We start from the raw sequence: 23,182 nt of genomic DNA, 5'->3' as shown, positions 1-23,182 counted from the left end.
AGTATTTTTTATTAGTTTTGGTTCTTTGTAATTTTAAAAATCTATATCTTTAAGGCCCTGCTTGATCTAAGTAAGAGATATTTGTGGTTTCAGCAACTTTGTTTTCCATAGACTTTTAAGTATAGTAGCGATTATAGTGAATGTATGTTTTCCCAGTAAGTTCTTTACCTATTCCCAGATTATTCTGGGTTTTAAATGGGTAAAATGTGTTTAAATGGGTTTTAAATGTGGTTTTAAGTGGGTAAAAATATTAACTTTGTAAGAGTCAAATATAAGATACTTGTATTTTAGCAGAGCATAGTTTATTCTCATTATTCACATCTTCCATGAAGGTGCCAGCAACACTAAGTTAGCAAATACTGTACTGAACCATTGCTCTTAGGGAAAAATACTGTGTCATGTTCCTACCATCCTCTGCTCACGACATTTTCATCAACTAATCAATACATAACTATGTTTTATGTGTGTTTCTACTTAAAGACACCTTGCTTAATATATATTGTTAATGCATTAACATTGAACTGATGGCCAACAGCACTGTAACTCATGCCTCAGTGAAACTTATCTAACACATATTTTCTCCACATCACAGCCTTCTTGCACCTAGGAACAGCTAGCATCTGGGAACACTTCAGCATGATGCTTATGGGCCATTTTACACAGTAAAAGCACCAACAAAGTGTGAAATGTGTAAAACATGGTGCTAAATAGACCATAAAAAGGACACTTGTAAATGTAGTATGAGAACTGAAACAAGAAGGCATTGTCACTTTGTTCAGTTTCAGATGGAAATGTGCCATGTCAGGTGATGCATGGTTTTGCACTGCCCTGTGTGTGTCTGTGAAAGACTAAGAATGTGCCACACTATTGATTTGGCGGTTACAGATAAATTTTAGTGAGTAGGTGAATTCACATGTACAGACTCTTCAAATAATGAGGATTGACTATAATTGTTTTTAGAAACCTTATGACTGAATACTTAGAATATGCAAATTTGAAAGTTTCTCTTACTTTCAGGTATGTGGAAATTGTTGATTAAGCAGAATCATCCTTGCAGTTTTCATGTTCTCTTGTCTAGTGAAATAAAACTGGCTGCTTTCAGTCCATCATTTTCTTTTCTGCCCTGCAGGGAACAACCTATCTTCAGCACTCGAGCTCATGTCTTCCAAATTGACCCAAACACAAAGAAGAACTGGGTACCCACCAGCAAGCATGCAGTTACTGTGTCTTATTTCTATGACAGCACAAGAAATGTGTATAGGATAATCAGTTTAGATGGCTCAAAGGTAAGCTACGTTTACTTTGAATGATTTGGCTGGTTTTGCTTTTTTCAGTATGACATTTTAGTTCTATTCAGAACATTTTATCTTCATTAATATAAAATGTTTCCTTTTGAGTTCTTAAAACTTTTAAGAAACAAAATGGATTATTAAGGTAGCAACATGTTTTGTCCACTAAATGACTAACCACTTTATTACATTGTTACATGCCAAAATATTCTACAAATTTGAGGTCATTCCATTTATTTAATGTTCATTGCATATCTGTTATGTGTCAGGCATTATGCCAGGTACTAGGAATATAGTGGTGGACAGAATAGATATGGTCTAGAATTCTAGGAGCTCTAATTCTTTTCAAATATACTGCTACAGACTAGTAGCAGTTTAAAGTCCCTATATCCTATGAAGTTTGTCAGTGTCAATACTAAAGCTGACATTTCTTCTCTCAAGAGAAGTATAAGGACAAAACCTATTTTATTTTTAGGAGAGGCAATTAGTGTAACAGGAGCAAGGACTGCCTGGGTTCAGATCTCAACTCCACCATCTACTGAGTGTTTTCTCTTTGGGCAGATTACTTCTCTGAGCCTCATTGTTCTCAACTCAGTACTGGTGGTTGTAAGGATTAAATGAGTTAATATCTGCAAAGCACTGAAATCAGTGCTTAGAGGACAGTGTGCCCTTCAGAAGAGTTGGTTGGGGATCCCTTTTTTTTTTTTTTTTTTGAGACGGAGTCTTGCTCTGTCACCCAGCCTGGAGTACAGCTCAGCTCACTGCAACCTCTGCCTCCTGGGTTCAAGTGATTTTCTTGCCTCAGCCTCCCCAGTAGCTGGTATTACAGGCGTGCGCCTCCATGCCTGGATAATTTTTGTATTTTTAGTAGAGACAGGGTTTCACCATGTTGGCCAGGCTGGTCTTGAACTCCTGACCTCTCGATCTGTCTGCCTCAGCCTCCCAAAGTGCTGGGATTACAGGCATGAGCTACCGCGCTGGGACGGGGGATCCTTTAATCATCAATGAACTTCATGGAACTCACTTAGAGAAAGAAATTCCAAAGAAAAATCAGACTCTAAGATTCTAGGTTTGAAGTGTGTAGAAAGATGAGGTCTTCAGTTTCTTAAAGCCATGAAGCCTTTCCACTTTCAGGAATTTTAGCAATTAAATGAAGAAGGGGTTAAGTGCACACACTGTAGAGCCAGACTGACTGGTTTGAATTTTTGTTTCTACTACCTGCTTGCCATCTATATTAGTCCATTCTCATACTTCTATGAAGAAATACCTGAGACTGGGTAATTTATAAAGGAAAGAGGTTTACTTGACTCACAGTTCCACATGGCTGGGGAAGCCTCAGGAAACTTACAATCGTGGCAGAAGGTACGTCTTCACAGGGCGGCAGGAGAGAGAGTGAGAGCAAGCAGGGGAAATGCCAGATGCGTATAAAACCATCAGATCTCGTGAGAGTCACTATCACAAGAACAGCATTGGGGAAACTGCCCCCCATGATTCAATTACCTCCACCGGGTTCCACCCTTGACACATGGGGATTACAATTCAAGGTGAGATTTGGATGGGGACACAGAGCCAAACCATATCACCATCTGATCTTGAGCAAAGTATTTAGCTTCTGCATGCAGGGCTGGGCACTGAGGTTTGTGCCTGTAATTCTAGCACTTTGGGAGGCCGAGGCATGAGGATCACTTGAGACCAGGAGTTTGAGACCAGCCTGGGTAACACAGTGAGTTCCCATCTCAAAAAAAAAAAAAATTAGCTAGGTGTATTGGTGCATGCCTGTAGTCCTAGCTACTCAGGAGACTGGGGCTGGAGCTAAGGAGGTCAAAGCTGCAGTGAGCTATGATTATATCCAGAGCGAGACCCTGTCTCTTAAGGGGAAAAAAAAACTGTATGCCTCAGTTTTCTCATCTGTAAAAAGGAATGAATAAAAATACCTACATCATTCCACCATAGGGTTGTTGTGAAAAGTAAGTAAATTTAGGCAAAAGCACAGTGTATATAGTAATCACTATACAAACACTCACTGCTATTGTTGTTAATACTATTATCAGGCGATTATTGCCTAGTGTTTTATGGGGAATAAAAGATAATTTAATGCTAAACTTTTTGTCTGTTTTTTCTGTGTACTCATTCCTTATCTCCTTAACTAGGTTAACTAGATGATAAGACCCTAAGCGCTATTTGCACTTTGTGTCTTGTACATAAGTAACTAATATGTATTTACTTGAATAATTGACTTTTTCATTTTTACTTGGAGGATTTAAAGGACTTGAGAAATAGAAATAGTTCATTTCCGTGAAGCTTTATTTAGTGAAGAATAATTTTGTCATATTTTGTAACTGATTTAGTGAAGTTTGACAGATACTAGATATTATAACCTGAGACTCTAGAGTGTTTATTTCTTTTCCCTTATTTGAACCTTGAATTCTCTGTAATCTGTTTTGTTTCTGGGCCCAAACGACAGATAACGTGCCTCCTTTATTAGAAAGGAGGGTTAACAGAGGTAACAGAAAAAGATAACAATCCTCCTTTATTAGAAAGGAGAGTTAAATGTTGTATACAAAAAAAGGTCAACTGAATAGTCCCATGTCGGAGAAAAGAAACCATATGGAAGTGATTAAATAGATTTCATTTGCTAACTTAATTTTCACCAGATTAAAATACTTTGAGTTATTTTAAAGGAAGGAATTTTAGTGATTAACACATAATCCTCATGTGTTCTTCCCACTGAAGCAATATGAAATGTTGCTCTTGCATTTTTCCATTTCTGAATATACGTTGCTGATTGTAATTATTAGAATCATAAATGACTTTGGAAAAGCTTTTTGTATTTTTTTAACAAAATCTATCTTCTGTAGCAGAGTTATATTTTCTATCACATTTTCCATTTTCTAATTACTTTTCTAAACTGATGCTATTAACTGCTGCAGTTCCTACAGGAGTGGTTGTTTTTTTAAGTCAGCAATAGTGGTTTATTTGACTCAGCTAAACAAGTGTTTTCTCCATCTCACCCCCGACTTCTGCTCTTCATGATTGAGTTGGAAACCCCTTAGGTGCCCTGCCTAGAAAATGTGCACTCGTTCTCACTTAGTGCCTCTACTGTGCATATGAAGTTTGCTTTAAGGTTTTCTGATTATTCTACAGAGACCTCAGCATGGTCAAGGGCCAGGATCAGGGCACTGTGTGATCCATACATGAGGTAGTAATGACACTGCATTTCTACCTCTTTTCCTTAAAAGGACTAGAACTCCAGGGTTGAGAGACATATTTATTTTCAGAACTAAAATTTTTCTTTTAAATGCATTCTACTCAAAGAAGCTAAGAAATAAAGCTTTTTAAAAGTGTGGGATCATCTATCATTTTAAGGTTTTCTTCATTAAAGAACAAGTAATACAGAGACAAGGGAAAGGTTCAGAATGGAGATTAAAATAAAACTCATAAAAGCGGAAAGAAGTTAATTTGAAATAGTTAAAATGAGGGGGCTTAGTGACCAACTACCAGCACGTTGGTCAGTTTTCTTAGATGCCTATAAAACCTGTTGTTGACTCACTTTTGAGTTATTAGGGTCACGTATAAAATGCCCTTGTCAGAAAACACAGAGATCCCAGTTCAGATGTGCCCCCTCAGGACCAGCAAATCTAAGGCAGTGCCTACCAGTCTTGATTTCTTGCGTTTCACTCTGTCACATCCTGGTCTTTATAGTACTTACTACTGTCTGAGATTACATTGGTCAGCTATTTATTTACTTGTATGTTTACTGACTCCTTTTATTCTAGACTGTAATTTCCAATTATATTGCCCCTCTTATTGTTGTAGCTCAAATTTTTAGAACTGTGCTTGGCATTTAAAAGGTACTCAATTAAAGTTGAATAAACGAATGATTCCTTAACCATTTGTTGATAAAGTCCTTCCTATTTAGTCTTTCATTTGATGACTTCATTTGATGCCATTCAAGTTAGAGCAGTTATTAGCCACATTTTACACATCCCAAATGATATGCTAAGAAAAGCAGTTTTTGAACTGAAGGGTAAGGAAACTGTATAAGTATGAATATGTAAATTTTGTCTGAGGTAAAAACACTTAATTGAGCATAAGGGCTCTCATATAACAGTGGACACATCTTCTGTCTGAGAGAAAGGAAGGGACCACTCTGTTTTACTGGTTTTTTTTTTAGTAGGACAGGTGTCATGCATTCATTTTTATGACTTCTCCAATACCTGCATAGCTCTTAAATATTTACTTTTATACTGTTGTTCACATGGTAAACAAATTTAGTTTTGTTCAGAAAATGCTCACATGGTAAGCAAATTTAGTTCAGAAAATGCTTGATGTATCATTCCACATTTAAGAGTTCAGCAGATGACTGCTTATGGATTTGTTAACATCTGTCTATTACTATTGGAATCACTTTCTAATCTTAAATTTGGAGTGCGTTAGACTAAAGAAATGATTCCTCACTTTTATGGTATTAGCAGAGAGAATGAGTTAATATTTTATGATAATTGAAATTTATTATGGTGATCACCAAAGTTAATATTTAGTAACATGCTAAAATACTAGTTTTCTAAGAAATTATGTGTGAAACAAAAATGATAGCAATTCTCAATATCATGAATCTATACCACTTTATGAGAAAAGAAATGAGTATGCAGTTGACTCATGACACTGGTTTGAATTATGCAGGTTCACTTATACGTGGATCAAAAAATACAGTATTTGTAGGATGTGAAAACCAAGTATTAGAGAGTTGACCTCGTATATGCAGGTTCTGCAGTGCTGACTATGGGACTTGAGTATGCATAGGTTTTTAGTATACATAGGGGTCCCGGAACCAATCTCCCAAGTCTAGCAAGGAACACCTCTATATTTAGAGGTTTGTTTTTTCCTTGAGTAAAGGGAAAAAGTACTAAACGATTGCAAGTCTTTTCTGTATCATAATGTATTTCAGGTAAATCAGCTTGAAGAAAACTCAATTATGGATTTTAGAAAATCAGTGTCGGCCGGGCGCAGTGGCTCACGCCTGTAATCCCAGCACTTTGGGAGGCCGAGGCGGGCAGATCAGGAGATCGAGACCATCCTGGCTAACATGGTGAAACCCCGTCTCTACTAAAAAAAATACAAAAAAGTTAGTAGGGCGTGGTAGTGGGCGCCTGTAGTCCCAGCTACTCAGGAGGCTGAGGCAGGAGAATGGCGTGAACCCGGGAGTTGGAGCTTGCAGTTAGCCGAGATCACGCCACTGCACTCCAGCCTGGGCGACAGAGCAAGACTCCATCTAAAAAAAAAAAAAAAAAAAAAAAAAAAAGTGTCATATTTTCTATGCATATTTTCATTTTTGAAAGATTCTTTGGAGGGTGGTACCCTACTTTTAAATAAACCACTATTAAGGCCTACCTTCTTCTAGTGATTATCATCCAAAATTAATAAATATTGATTCTAAACATTCAAAAGGAAAAAACTGACCATATTAAAAACTCTTTGACACTTTTTGGATCATAGGTAAACTTATTTGAGTGTAAAATGTTGAAATTTTTGATAGAGTGTCATCATATTTATATTTTAGTTAACATATTTCCACACTATCACTTATAATGCCAGAAACTATTTCTGTAACTATCTTTATGTATTTAACGTTGTGGCTTATTGATAATCTTAAGCTTTTATGTAACTGAATGGTCTTGTATTTAAATGCCTGTTTGCTGATTTTTTGCTGGTTGCTCATACTTGCTTTATTTTTTAGGCAATAATAAATAGTACCATCACCCCAAACATGACATTTACTAAAACATCTCAGAAGTTTGGCCAGTGGGCTGATAGCCGGGCAAACACCGTTTATGGATTGGGATTCTCCTCTGAGCATCATCTTTCGAAAGTGAGTTAAATCATAAAATTTGAATGAAAATCTTCATCTTCAAGTCGTATATCTTAAATATATAATACCAAATGGAGAGTATAAAATATAGGAGAAATTTATTTAATATTCTCGAAACAGCAGTAGTGACTTCAGAGCAAGAAGTAAGAGATCATTAGATTCTGCTGTCACTTGGAAAATGTACACATTAAAAACAGTCACCATTGGTTGAGAAGGATTTATGTGGTTAATTGTCTGTGTGATAGGAATTAAAAGGTGGGGATTATCACTTCAGAATGGATTTTTGTCAGAGATTAGTACCCTCAATTGGAGATGGTCTACAAGATAGGCAGATACCAAGCTCTTTTGAATTGTGAAAACTCAAGCTGACAGTGATATAGATTTCAGCATTTTGATGTGACAGCAGGTACATATAAATTACTGTGTTTAGGGGAAATTGTGCTTTATCTGGATGTGGAATACTCCGAGCTCTGATGCAGTGCAGACTGAGATACTATAGACATCATGAGGAATTTTTAGATAATACTCACCATGTGACCAGAAAGGCCAATAAAATGCAAAGCATCACCAGGCTAAATATTGGAAATAAGACAGTTCTCCTGTCAATAAGCAAAAGCCATGTAATGTTTATACCAGCAGCACCTTGGGTTCTTGTGGATGTTACACAGAAAAGAATATATAAGAAAAAACAATCTCAGTATACTAAGTGATCAAAGAGAAAAGTAAAACTCACTTTTCTCTTCAGAGCTTGTGCCTGCCAGACCTAAAGATTTATTCTTAAAACCTCTGTTTGAAGCATTCAGTTAAAAGAATAACCATATATTTTAAATACTTTACATATGATTTGGTATATGCAGGATCTGATACTGGAACTCAGGCTAGAGAGTTGAAATTATCCAAGTGCAGAGAAATCAGGCTCTTGTAGATATACAGTGTTTATATTTACATTAAATTTTAAGCTGTTTTTCTTTACAGAAATTATTCTGTATTCAAATTCTTAAACTGGGTTCTTTTTAGAAATCTTACACTTTTATGAATATATATTGAATCTATTTTATTTTCTTCTAATTATAAACATTTCTTAACACTGTTTTCAAGTGTTTTTGTTATCTTTTGGATATGAATTATAGTTTAAATCTCAATTTTAAGGGTATTTTAACTTTCGCCTTGGTGATTATAAATCATTTTCTGTAGGATGATTAAAACAAATATTAAGGCTGGGCACAGTGGCTCATGCCTTTAATCCCAGCACTTTGAGAGGCCAAGGAGGGCAGATCATTTGAGGCCAGGAGTTCAAGACCGGCCTAGTCAACATGGCAAAACCCCGTTTCTACTAAAAATACAAAAAAATTAGCTGGGTGTGGTGGCACACACCTGTAATCCCAGCTACTTGGGAGGCTGAGACATGAGAGTCATTTGAACCCAGGAGGCAGAGGCTGCAGTGAGCCAGGATTGCGACACTGCACTCTAGCCTGGGTGACAGAGCAAGACTCTGTCTCAAAAAACAACAACAACAAACAAATATCATTTTGGTTTCTCTTGTACACATCTTATTCTTTAAATGTATTTCTTGAACTGTGGTAAAATAAGAGTTTTACATTCAAAGTATCTCAGCATAACTAGGATACAGGTTTCCATTGAACATTGCCCTTCCATAAACAGTTCTGTTGAGAAATTATATGTTTATTCTAATACTTTTGCCATCATTCAGAACCTTTTTAGAACTTTGTGTTTTTTTTTATTGCCTATTAAAGACTATAGCAAAAATCTATAAATATATCTTGCTGAATTTCTTAACTTGACAATACAAGAACTAAATCATGGATTATTTTCTCAAACTTGCCTTAAATGCTTTTTGGGCTGAGTAATTTTGTCTGTAAATTAAGTTCTTCGTTACATCTTTCAAGTTACTGAGCAGCTAGCTAATGTAGTAAAGGAATAGTTTATTAACTTCTGTCAGTTCTACTCTTTTCCCTTGTTTGAACTTTTCTCTGAGAATGGCTTTTTTTTTTTAATTTTTTTTCTTCTTTAAAGTTAGCATATGCTTTTGACCAGCCTTACTGGTGGTAAATCTAGTATTTGAGGGTAGGTTGAATATTGGGAAACAGCTCTTAAGCTCTTGGAGCCAATTCTAGCTTATATACTCACAGAACTTGGCTCCAAGAGCTTCAGATCAGTCTCTTCAGAATGTTTTGATCCAAAGCTGACAAAATCATAATTTATTTTTCAGGCTACCTTGTAGACTAATTTTGGTGTTTTGCAGACTGTAGGAGGCTCAAAGGCATTTATAATATTTTACATAAACAAAGCAAGTACATAAACATTCTAGCTTGTTTTATCAGTTAAAAGCCATGAGTAAGTCAAAACATTATAAGGGTTTGGAGAAGGCAATTCTAGACAAAGACATCTCAAAATAAGGGAAAGTACCATCGTTGAAAAAAAATGTGTGGTCTCTTAAGATTGAATGGTATGAGCAAAATTCCAGCTATGCTTGGATTGTTAGAGTGCTTACTAAGCTGTATTTTGTTATTATGGGAAATCTAAGCTGTCACTTTTTTATTTTGCTGAAAACTAAGGATATACAAATTAGCAATAGTGTAGATTTTTACGAAGTTGAGAAGGCTTTTAAAGATTAACTATTGTGGAATGTTAAATTAGTGTAAGAAAAACCTTGTATACTATTTCAGATTACATAAAGAGAAGTTTTGTTTTGATTTCATTTCCACCAATGTGAGTGAGACCCTTGTAGCTTCGTATTCAGATGTTGTACTGTTTGGAGATACTCTGTTCAATTGGAGAAGTATAGTAGCACAAATTCACTTTCCTCAGATACACATTATAGGTAGAAGTGACAAGGTTTAAGGTAAGAAGGAAAAGTTGTGATAATGATGGCTTTAATTTTGACCCTCCTCCATCTCGCCAGGATTAGAGTATCACAGGCCTTTCCTTCCAAAATTTTTCTTCCCAAGATGGAAATGAAATCAGAGTTCGTTTATGAGGGTTTGAGAAAGGAACTATAATTTCATGTTTTAATTACCAGCTCTAACAGATATTTTAAGTTGCATAGGGATTTGGGGTTTTTACATGTAGTTATTATGTAGTCTTAACTTATTCTCACTGATAATAGTGATAGACTAGCTTCCACTTCCAAAACATAAATAGATATTCTTTGTGGCCAGGATGTTTTATAGTTTCCTATGAGTTCCTAAGAATTAGCATTTCATGTACAATAATTTTTGTTTTGAAATTGTTATCCATCTTAAAGACCACTGAGTATTATTCCTTTCTGCTGCTGTACATGAGCTATTTAGGAATCTTCGGAAATAAATTTTTAGTTATGTCAGTTAGTGAAAATAGTAAATATTACTATTTGTATTACTGAAAATGCATTGTGTATTAAGAGAGTTTATATTTTAGTAAAATTTAAAAGCATTTTCTAAATACTGTGATGTTTACAAGTGGATACTTGTGAAATTCAGTTTTCTCAATGATAAACATAGCACAGTACGCTTATGTTTACTGATTCTTTCCCCTACCTTGGTCTCAGTAAATTATTTCTGAACAACCAGGAGTCCTTTAGGTAAGCTAGCTGACTCTGAAGTCTGACTTAGCTATATCATGATGTTTTGAATAAGATTTGTCAAAATACTTCATAGTGCACAGACAACTGTTTGGAATTAGGTTTCATTTCCTGTCATTTTCATATTAGAAGCTATAATTGGTTTGGAGGCTATATTGCTTGTGTAGAGTCAGTTATTCAGAAAATGAATAACTTTACTAAGGTAAAAGTGGGCACTGTGACCTATTTTTATTTGGTTAATGTATGTAGTCTCTATACATTCAGTTTGCAGAAAAGTTTCAGGAATTTAAAGAAGCTGCTCGACTAGCAAAGGAAAAATCACAAGAGAAGATGGAACTTACCAGTACACCTTCACAGGTGGGTATATCATTTCTATTCTTAATTATGAACCTTGTTCATTTCAGATAATATCCTTCATGCCAGAATTAAATCTCCAAAGTACACACAGAAATGCACCCTTTAGTGTGGTGGCTCACACCTGTAATCCCAGGACTTTGATAGGCTTAGGTGGGAGGATTACTTGAGCCCGGGATTTCAAGACTAGCCTGAGCAACATAGGGAGACCTCATCTCTACAAATTAAAAAAAAAAAAAAAAAAAAAAAAATTAGCCAAGTGTGGTGGTGCAAGCCTGTGGTCTCAGCTACTTGGGAAGCTGAGGTAGGAGGATCACTTGACTGGGAGGTCGAGGCTGCAGTGAGCTATAATTGTGCCACTGTGCTCCAGCCTGGGCAACAGCAAGACCCTGTCTCAAAAAGAAAAAGAGAGAGAGAGAAATGCACCCTTTACTTAATTTGTACTGGTGGAAAAAGGTTTTTCTATATGCCAATGCCTACAAGAATATTTGTAATCAAAATTTCAGTTTAGTAATTCAATTCAAATTATTTAATGTGCTTGTAACTTAGCAAAAGTACATAAAGATCATGTGATAGTCAAATGTAACCACAAGGGGAGTCATAGGAAAAGTTCAGGAAAACAAGTTTATTATACTTGCTGGTCCTAGAAACAGGGAAAGTCTTAAGGTGGTCAAGAGACAGAAAGCAGGAGTGAGGGGAAAGCCGAGGTAGAGCTTTATTGGAATTTCCATTGGAAAGGTAAAGCAGGGGAGGGGAAATAGTTTAGGATTGGCTGGGTTGAATAATTTCAGGGGGCTCTAAACTGTAGGGGTGGTCCCTCATTGTCTGGTAACTGGCCCTGGGATGGATTAAGTTAGAGGAATATTGTCTCCTGGATCAGATGTATGGATCAGATAGAGGAGGTATGGCTCTGGATTGGCTAGTTTGCATATCAGAGGCATGCTCTGGACTGGGCTCTTGCTGTCCTTAAGAATTAGCTAGCCCTAGAGGGGAGAAGCAGTCTCTTTGCAGCCAGAAAATTTTTTTAAAAGATGTCAGAATGTCATAATATACATAAAGTTAAAATACATGCACGTGCGTGCACACACGCACAAACAATAGGGTTTGTTTTACATACTTTTATTATTTATTTATTTATTTTTGAGCTAGAGTCATGCTCTGTCACCCAGACCGGAGTGCAGTGGCACAATCTCGGGTCGCTGCAACCTCTGCCTCCCAGGTTCAAGTGATTCTCATGCCTCAGCCTCCCAAGTAGCTGGGATTATAGGCGTGCACCACCCCACCTGGCTAATTTTTGCATTTTATTAGTGGTGGTGTTTTATCATGTTGGCCAGGCTGGTCTCCCTGGCCTCAAGTGATCCGCCTGCCTTGGCCTCCCAAAATGCTGAGATTACAGGCGTTAGCCACAGCCCCAGCCTGTTTTACATACTTTTAAAGTATACTTAAATCTGACAGTTGGAACATCTTTATGCTTAGCACTGAGACAATGGTTATAGGTTTTACAAAAGTATTACTTTTTCTTTTAACAAAGGACCTTTTACTTGTCCATCATAATCTTCCTTCAGTTGGAAGTTATATCTCCAAGTAAAGTTGATTAAATAGTTACATTTTGGTACTTTTATAATACAGTGGTTTTACTGTATGATTAATATAGAATGCCACTATTTTCAGCTTTTTAATAGTAGGCTTTTCTAAAATTAATTTTTATTTTAATTGTATCCTACTAGTAGGATTCAGCTTTTGGCTGTTCTCCTCTGTAGTAATTGTTTCTGAACTGTACTCAGTAGCTTTTATGGAAAGGAAGAATCAGATGTTACAAATGTTTCTCTGGAATAATGTCAGTAGTAGCAGATTTACATGGAACTTTCTTGAAGAAAATAGGAATTGCCTTGGAATTTAATAACTAACCAAATGATTGGAACAGTTTAGAAAATTATTTATTCTTTATCTCCCTCTCCACTTCTATCACCCAGCTCTATTTGGAAAACTACTGGTATAGAGAGTTGATTTTTTTTTTAATAAGAATAAAGGAGAGCTCTGTTAAATATGCTTAAAGTGCATATTCCCTTAGACTAAAGGTGTACTCTGGATTGAAGCCAAAGCTCCATTATACGTCTGTACATGCAATGACCTGGAATAACTTTGATGATCATTTGAAACTTCTCTTGAATCTGTCTTCTCTAAGTGCTGCGAAGGTGTAGTGATACTTTTAAACATAAAACCCCATTTAAAATTAAGTGGCAATACATATTGGGAGCTCTAGTTCCTCTGGTGAGTGATTCCAGTGTTATAAGAAGATCCAACAAACAGCACATTCAGTAAAAGAGTACTCAAAGGATTTTAATAAAAGTGTGATGGATTAAGCTTTGCCATTGTACTTAGTTCCCGTTTCTCTAATCGTAACTTCCATTTTAGTTGAATTGGTCATGAACCATTATAAGTTGCTGCTAACACCTTGTTCCTCTTTGGTGGAAGGAATGACTTTAAGCCTCTGCTTTGATTAAAGGAATATATAAAAGATGCTTATATTTGAAAAATACTATGAAATATAAAGAATAAGGAAATAAGTTCATCACTATTTGAGAGCCAAAATATATGGACCTTAATTTATCTTATCAAAACATTTGAAGCCTAATTGTCAATTTAATATACAGAAGCCAGAGAGAATCATTTTTTAAAAAGCATTTATCAGCCAGGCATGGTATGCACCTATAGTCCCAGCTACTCATGAGGCTAAGGTGGGAGGACTGCTTGAGCCCAGGGGTTTGAGGCTGCAGTGAGCTACAATCACGTCACTGCACTGCAGCCTGGGTGACAATATCTAATGTGTCTGTTTTAGTTTGAATTGTATGACCATTGGCCATACCTACCCTACTTGATTCTCAGTGGTTTAACCCAATCTGCTGAATTAATGCTGCCTGAAGAATGTAACGTAACTCTGGAATTTAGCAAAAGAACGGTTAAGTGGGGTAATTGATAATAGGTTAAACACGAAAATCGATAGTAGTAGAAACTTGGTTGGTCAAAGCTTTTGTTTTTATTTGAGGGAGGTGTAAGAGACTGGTTAAAAGTTTGAGTCAGACAAACCTAGATATAAATTACTTTTCTGTTGCCATGTAATACACTTGGTTGTTTAACACAAGTGTGTTTATACATTTATAACATGAGTATTACATTACTTATAGAATCATTGATCATCATCAATAAGTATGGTAACGACACAGTGTCAGGTCATGGTTAATAATGGGAGTTCTAGAATCTGAATTTGAAACTGGGCTCCAACCCTTAATAGTTTTCTGAGCTTAGGCAAGTCTCTGTTTTTCTTCCTCTATAAAATGAGAATGAGAACAATATGTCCTTAATAGGAATATTGTGAGAATTAAATGAGGATTAGAAAGTACTTAGCATATAGTACTAAATGCCTAATAAATGTTAACAACTGATGTGGTTGTAATGGGGAGGATGATGATGTAAGGCCTTAACATACTGTCTGGCACTAACAGTTATCTTTAAAAATTCAGATGCCTTAATTGTATATTTATACAATATGTATTTGAAAAATACTATGCGTCAGAATTCTGCATCAGAATTCCCTGAAAGACTTGCTAAAACTCAGATCGGTGAGCTCCACTCCCAGACTGTCTGATTTAGTAGGTCTAAGATGGAACCCAAGGATTTGCATTTCTAACAAGTTTTCTAGGAGATGCTGAAGCTATTCCTATGTTAGATATTATATTATATTGTAGAATATTATATATGCCTAATTCAGTTGTGAGTATTATTTTAATTTTTTAGCCATTTACATTTTAGTCATTTCAAAGTATTTAGCCTGGCTTTCATTAAAATTACCACTCTAGTTTTGCATTCAAAATCAGTAGTTTACATAGTACTTAATTCAGTTTTATAATTATATAAATAGAATTGGCATAAACAGGTTTGGGACACATACAGCTGACTCTTGGTAAGCATTTGATGCAGCTGGTGGTTGCAAAATATTCAAGCAGAGTAACAATTAACCCACTAACCCTAAGCATCAATCAGCCAATATACTTTACATAGCGAAGGAAGAGCATAAATTAATCCAGAAAGTCAGATTATAAGAACTTCTGTGGTTGTCACAAAATGGATTTCAGAAATGGTGGCTCTGGATGGTGACTAACTATAGGAAAAATGTATGACTGAGGATATGAGGATCTTGTTTGAGAGCTCAACCTCATCTTCCTTTATGTATCGTTTTGCTGTCTTCTTTCCATTCTCACTGCCATGGGATCTCAAGACTATTAGCTCCTCCCCAGTTTTTCTGTCAGGCCCTCTGCTGAGAAAACAGTGGTGTTCTCATCTTTGTTTAAGTATAAAACTGGAATGGACTGAGTCTTCCATGAATGTTTGTTAAATGGTAAAGAGAGGGCCTTGTTTTCCTTAAGCCAACAAGGTTGAAACTGTAATGGGAATTTAATTTCAGGTTTTATTGGCATGAAATGGAAGGTGGTAGTGGTATTTGGTATAGTGGGTCATGGCAGTGCTGCTGCGTACCTCCCCAGCCCATCCTTCCAATACACAGTAGGTCACTGAAACCACCCTAAAGGCTTGTCCTAGAGTGAGGGTCAAGGTCAACTTTTTTCCATGTGTTCTAGAATATTTCTCATTTTTTGGCTTTCATAGCCAAAATTTCAGTTGTGGGTTTTATTTTAATTTTCACTTAAGTTACCCACTTCACAAATGGGTAGGAAGAGAGAATTCTTAAGAAGCATTTCCTGAATCTCACATCTGTGCTCAGGTGCCTTTTTTATAATAGGTTGCATCTGTTAGTTTTGATTTCCTTGATACTCTCTCAGATTTGTTCTTCCAAAAATAAATTTTTTCTTCAGTGTTACTGTCCTTTTTCTTACTGTAGATTATTTGTTTTGGTGGGAGTTATAGGGAGAGTTTCTCAGAAAAAAAATGAGATGTAAGTGGTTTTATTTTCTCAAAGCAAGGATATAAAGTCAATAGAAAAGATTATTTCATCTGTTTTTATTTCATTTTATTTTTTGCTTTTTTTTTTCATTTTTCTTATCAGCTTTGGGTATACACACACACACACACACCCCAAAAAAGAATAACTGAAGTAGGATGTTTAGGAAATTACACACAATTTAGATTAAAAAAGAAATAGATGCTTAGAATATGTTAAATAAAAAACATGTTTCAAGTACTATTTTTAGCATATGCAAAATTTCTGGAAGGTTTTGCAGAATACTTTTGGCTACCTCTGCGGTAGTTGGAGGGAAAGAGGGTTTCATTTTCCTTTTGTGCCCTCATGTACTGTTGGAATTTTTTGTTGTTTCTCATCAGTAAATACTAATTTTATATTTTTAAAACTGACTTTAAAAAAACCCAAGTTCTCGATCGGTTCAGAATAAAAAATTAAATTAAAAAAATAAAATACCATGCTTTGGGTGGGCTTTTTGTTTTTTACTTTAGGTATAATGACCTAGGATAACTATGCCTTTACTTAAATATAGCTAATATTCAAGTTTTCTGAAGAAAAACTTGCTGCTTTGAGATGTTGGAATTGCTACAACCTCTATCCCTTTCTTTCTCCCCTTCTTAACTTGCCCCTGGGAACAGTCTTTCTACTTTAGTAGCATTAACATTTGTAGCCTCCCCAAGTTCCATGCCTCAAACCCTACTCCCTCTTATATTACCCTCAAAGTGACCGGAGCATTTATCCCAGAAGATGGTAACAACCATGAGTCAAACTGCTACTGCTCTTCCTCTCTCTCTTTTGATCCTAATGTACTTTTGCACACTCTTGTCAACCAGTTCCAGCAAATCCCTGAGTTAATCCTTAATTGCTAACCCTAGTTATGCCCTTTAAGTTTAATAAGGTAATTTATTTTTATTTTTATTTTTTATTTTGAGATGGAGTCTCACTCTGTTGCCCAGGCTGGAGTGCAGTGATCTCGGCTCGCTGGAACCTCCACCTCCCAGGTTCAAGCGATTCTTCCACCTCAGCCTCCCGAATAGCTGGGACTACAGGCACCTGCCATCATGCCCAGCTAATTTTGTTTGTATTTTTGTAGAGATTGGGTTTCATCATGTCAGCCAGGCTGGTCTTGAACTCCTGACCTCAGGTGATCCGCCTGCCTTGGCCTCCCAAGGATTACAGGCGTGAGGCACCACGTCCCGGCCGGTAACTTGTTTCTGTTATCATTTCTACTGAATTGAATCTTCACCAATTTAACTGTTTAGCAGGTTGCACATTCAACCTTTCATTATTTTAGTTTGGCTTGGCCTGTCTTGGAGAGAAATAAGCCTGATTTGTTAATACCAGAGATGATTATTTTATGATATCTTACTGGCTGGTTAAATTTTTTCTGACTAATTAATATGGTCCATAACTGACCTAGAAGTAGTCACTTTGTGATTGCTATTCCCATTATTCACTTAATAGGATTTGACTTTGTTGTAAAACATTTTTATATTGTCACATTATACTGTAGATTTTATTCGTGCATTGACTGTCAGCTAAAGGAAACAGCTGATTTAGGAGAAATATTTAATAAAAATGAAATTAAAGGTCAAAATTAGAAGTTTTACTGAAAATTGAAAAATAGTTAAGTGATAATGTGGAATTAAGAAAGTATCCTTTTGATCTTTAACAGCTTGTATAGTTTATAGCATTATGGAACCATTAGTTAAAATACTTAAATGTGAAATAAAATTCATACAGCAGTATAAAACCAGAAGTCTCAAAAACAAAAGTCTCACCACGTTAATATTTACATATTTTTTCTAGCACTTCATGTGTAACATTCTAAATGTGAAGGATATAAATATAACCCAGTTACTGTTTTACATTCTGATTTTTAAAAATTATATGCTACATTGCTCATATTTGTCTTATTTTTATTAGAGGAAATCTTGTATTTTTTTTAAGTTGACAAATTATGATCATTCCTAACCACTCCCCTGTTGGACACTTATTTTTTTCTCCCAAATATAGACAGATATTTCAATTGTAACATTTTTTTGCCCAGGGATCATAAGAGGTCCACCAAGCTGCTCTTTAACAGTCTGGTTTTAGCACCTCCCCTAGTTAATAGGTCTATCAAATGACTCCTCATTCTGATTTCCAATATCAAATTTGGATAATCTGATGGTGGCAGACATAAGTGTCAGCTTGAGCTTCATTTTAAATTCAATTTATTTAAAATGACATAAATTTTAATGTTATTTAAATAAATTTACTTTGAAAGGAAAATCTTAATGAAAAGTAGAAATAAGACAGGAAATTTTGTAAAGAAAAGTAATCCCACTATGAGTACCAGACAAGATAAGTTGAAATGCACTAACATCATTATAGATAATAGGTTATAGAGGCATTTCTTCTTGCTTTTCTAAGTAGCTCTATAGGGATTGAAAAGTAGGGCAGATAAAACGTGTTGCAAATTTCATTCACCCCTTTGCCCTCCCCCTCTCCTCATCCACTTCTTCTCCTGTACCCCTTCCATTATCTACTTCTTTCACCAAAATCACATCTTCTTGCATTTTTGTGCATCTTTTCTTCTGAAGTATAGTAATTCTTTGAATATCTTTTATTCTGACCAATTAGTTAAATAAACCAAACATTTTTAAATTATTCGAAACTGTTTCTAAATTGTGTTATATTTCCGTTTCTAAATTGTATGTTTCAGAGAGTTTTCTTGTGAGTAGCCCAGCTTCAAAAAACTTTTTCTCCTAGCTTGCCATGAATAAAAAATAAAAATTTCCATGTTTTATGTTTTTAAGTCTTTGACTCAAATTTCAGTTGAAATTTGGTTCATCAGTAAGCATACATCAAAGGCAGTTTTAACCTCAAGATGATATTGTGTACTTTAACAAAAGTGTAACTATTTTTTATCCCCCACCCCTTTTTTTAAAGGAATCCGCAGGCGGGGATCTTCAGTCTCCTTTAACACCGGAAAGTATCAACGGGACAGATGATGAAAGAACACCTGATGTGACACAGAACTCAGAGCCAAGGGCTGAACCAACTCAGAATGCATTGCCATTTTCACATAGGTACAGATTCAATTCAGCAATTATGATTAAGTAAATGTGTAAATATGGAAATGTTTGGTTTCAGGAACCCTTGTAGTTACAAGCTTTGAGTGAAAACTCCAGGTTGACTTTGACTTTTTTTTTTTTTTTTTTTACTGCTTCTGTTAACCTCAGAAATGAAATACACAAACTTTTTATTAATTTATAGTTTATAGTTGCATAGATGGACTGCAGTGAACATTTCCTTTATGTAGAAAAAGGAGCACTAGGCTAATTACAGTACAAATTGTTTTTCAGTGAAATAAAATCTTGTAAGTTGCTTCTACCTGTCTTTTAACATAGCCTCTAAAAGGCCTCCTTTATTAACCTGGTTTCTATTTTTGTGTATGTTCTTGAAGGTTATAAGTTGGAATTTTTTTTTAAGTAGGCTTTCCACTCTGAAATTAAGCTTTATCATAGTCTTTGAGATGATCTCACCACGTGATTTCACAGAAGGAAACAGTGGGATAACTTTTAGCATGGGTTTGTTAATGTTAATGGCAGATTTATCTTTGCACACCAACTAACAGGAGATAAGTCTTCACTTGCTTTTGAATTTTAAAAGAATCTGTTTCTCTGAAAACATACTATTTATCCTAAATGTGTTCCAAACCAGTTACATTCATTATTGGCCATACTTGGTGTATTTAGGATGTAAGGAGGTCTGTGCAATTGCAATCTTGCAAATGTAAAACAAGTACCTATCAGTCATCTGTTTTAAAGTTAATTTTTTGTCCTTCTTTGGAAACTTTTCACTAGGTTAGTTTTAGTTAAAGTTAGGAAAACATTTTCCTTCATTGAACATTTCTTTTGGGGACCAATTTTAAAAAAATCCTTTGGCATATTAAGCAAAATTGAAGTGAGATACTCTTCAACCCTCTTTCTCATGAGAATTTTTATTTTGATTGAAATTTGTTGAATATTAAGGGCATTGGATTAAATGCCCTTAGTAGAGGCTTAGTAGAGGCTAACATTGGGAGACCTCATTGTCAGGCTGAGGAAGAAGAAAAAATTAGTTAAGGTTTTTTAAGGAATGGCCAGGTGCAGTGGCATATGCCTGTAATCCCAGCACTTTGGGAAGCTGAGGTAGGAGGATCACCTGAGGACAGGAGTTCAAGATCAGCCTGGGCAACATAGTGAGACCCCTGTCTCTAAAAATATGTAAAAACTTAGGCCAGGCATGTTGGTGCACACACCTGTAGTCTTAGCTACTTGGGAGGCTGAGGAAGGAGGATCACTTGAGCCTGGGAATCCAAGGCTGCAGTGAGCTACGATTGTGCCACGGTGTTGCAGCCTGAGTGACAGAGTAAGACCTTGTCTATAAAAAACAAAAAAGGTTTGTTTAGGAATGAACAGAGGAAAACTGTGAGGCTATTCTAATTTGTTGCTAACAGTGCTAATAATTTTACATAAAACAGTAGATATATTGTGGAGTTATAGATTTATTGTTGTGGTATAACGATATTTTCTGTTTATAGTGATAAAGATGACTGAACACATGAAAAATTTTAGTTGTTTCTATCTGAATAATATGTTTACATTACATAGTCTTTTAAAATATGCAGTTACAATTAAATAATCATATTAGTATGCAATTTTAAAAAATATTTTACTATGTTGAGGAAAGGAAAAATTTTCTTCCTATTAAACTATATTTAACATATCCATTTAATAAACAGACTTAAAACTTCACTGAACATAATTATATACTTGATTTCTTTGGCTAACACTTAAATTGAGCCATCTGTGTGGAATACTGTAGCATTTAGAAATAAATTCTGTATTTAACATTTGTAAAAGCTATTTCTAGTTTACTTTATGCACCTAAAATTTTCTAAATGTCTACGATTTTGTTAATCCTTAGTATTTGGAGTTACTACCTGGAATTGGTCTTCTCTACGATTTTTCTCTGTTCTCAAGAGTCTAATAAGAGTTACTTTGACTTGAAGTACATAGCTGCTTTGACTACTGGAATTTATAGATGAGTCATGGAGATACTTGACAGAGTTCTGAATATAAAATTTAACAGGTCAATTTAAGTTTTTAATTATGTGAAAGGTATTACATAATCTTGTAGTTCTTACAGAAAAATACTTCACAGGATTTTTTTAAGACATTCTCTGAACTTGTTTTGATTTTACATTAATCAGTATTAATCAGTATTCACTAGTTACTTGACTGAAAACAAGATTTCCACCTGAGGTATAGAACACTGAGTATTTTAAGTTAATGCTAGAATCCCAGAATATCAGAGCTAGAAGAAACCTCAGAGATGATATAATCCATGATTTTCCAAACTGTGGTAGTTTGATATCAATTTAATAGGCCATTCGTGGCTTTCTGAAAAATGAAATGTAATGAAACCAAAGAGAAAACATTAGAGTAAAACTCATATTGAGGGTAGAAACTGTTTCAGTAGTGTACATATATGTGTGTGCGCTGACTATATTGTAAAATGTCAAAGTTTGAAAGTGTGTGCCTTTGGCATGTGGAAGACTAAATCCCAGAGGTTAGGTGAGTTGCGTAAGTCACATAGTTCATTAGTAACAACTGTGAGTCTACAACTCAGCTCTCTGATTCTGGTATGCACTGTCAGTTACAGTACATTAGGCAAATACCCAACACAAGCACATTGTTGTGTCAGGAAGTTAGTAACTGTTCCTATCCTAGGAGACCTATATGGAAATAAGATCCGTGTTTCATGATTAGAAACAGATTATTGAAATAAATTTTATTGAAATCTAAAACTCACAAGTTTTTAAACTGGGTACAGTATTATTTTTTCCCATCACAAAGGAACACAATTAAAATCTTATTTATTTTTTTATTTTTATTTATTTTTATTTATTTATTTTTTTTGAGACGGAGTCTCGCTCTGTCGCCCAGGCCGGACTGCGGACTGCAGTGGCGCAATCTCGGCTCACTGCAAGCTCCGCTTCCCGGGTTCACGCCATTCTCCTGCCTCAGCCTCCCGAGTAGCTGGGACTACAGGCGCCCGCCACCGCGCCCGGCTAATTTTTTGTATTTTTAGTAGAGACGGGGTTTCACCTTGTTAGCCAGGATGGTCTCGATCTCCCGACCTCATGATCCACCCGCCTCGGCCTCCCAAAGTGCTGGGATTACAGGCGTGAGCCACCGCGCCCGGCCTATTTATTTATTTAGAGACAGAGTCTCACTCTGTTGCCCAGGCTGGAGTGCAATGGCTCAATCTTGGCTCACTGCAAGCTCCGCCTCCCAGGTTCATGCCATTCTCCTGCCTCAGCCTCCCGAGTAGGTGGGACTACAGGCGCCCGCCACCACACCCTGCTAATTTTTTGTATTTTTAGTAGAGACGGGGTTTCACCCTGTTAGCCAGGATGGTCTCAATCTCCTGACCTCATGATCCACCCGCCTCAGCCTCCCAAAGTGCTATAAAATCTTAAGTTTTTAATGCTTATTTAGACTATATTGCCTTCCTTCTCCAATATGTGTTTTAGCAGAGAAGAATGAATAGCAAAAAAATTTTTTGCCAGTATTTCTGTTTTAGTTGATTCCATTTTACTGCTAAATAAGGAGCAAAATCACTAGAATGTCTATGTGCTAAAAATAAAAAAGATGGGATATAGGGAACAGTGATCTAGTCAGTCAGATTAGTTAAGAGTTGACTGTAGTAATAGCTACTTAGCAAGCCATTTGTTCTTTTCTTAAAATTCAAATTTTTGACTAAACCTCATGAATTTGTTAATTAACATGTCAAAAGAAGGTCCTACTTTTCATTTAGCACTGAAAGTTTTAGTAATGTGGTTAGTTTGTTCTTTAAGTCTTTCTTAAAAAGTTACTTAGCTTTAGAGAAATAAGCAAGATTTAAAACATTTTTAGTATTTATAACTTTTTATTATAAAAATTTTCAAGCATACATCAGAGAGAAAATACTATAATGAACTCCTATAAACATGTCACCTGCCTTCAACAGTTATGAAAAAATGGCCAGTCTTGTTTCATCTCTGCCCTCATCTAGTCCTCCTCCACTGTGTTATTCTTAAAGCA

At 35.7% G+C, this 23,182-nt stretch overlaps 1 protein-coding gene across 5 annotated transcripts in view; it reads left to right on the top strand.

Moving 5' to 3' along the window:
* HOMER1 (homer scaffold protein 1) overlaps positions 1 to 23,182 on the top strand; it is a 141,499-nt gene that overhangs the window by 55,987 nt on the left and 62,330 nt on the right. For 4 of the 5 annotated variants that reach the window (NM_004272.5, XM_047417894.1, NM_001277078.1 and 1 more), the window contains exons 2-5: positions 1,130 to 1,286; positions 7,027 to 7,158; positions 11,003 to 11,095; positions 18,999 to 19,138. In NM_004272.5, coding sequence (NP_004263.1) covers positions 1,130 to 1,286; positions 7,027 to 7,158; positions 11,003 to 11,095; positions 18,999 to 19,138 — 522 coding nt within the window. The remainder of the gene's footprint in view (positions 1 to 1,129; positions 1,287 to 7,026; positions 7,159 to 11,002; positions 11,096 to 18,998; positions 19,139 to 23,182) is intronic. The other variant, NM_001277077.1, reaches the window with a different exon arrangement.

This window comes from Homo sapiens, chromosome 5, assembly GCF_000001405.40.
Source record: "Homo sapiens chromosome 5, GRCh38.p14 Primary Assembly".
NCBI lineage: Eukaryota > Metazoa > Chordata > Mammalia > Primates > Hominidae > Homo > Homo sapiens.
This window is presented reverse-complemented; position numbering and strand designations above follow the sequence as displayed.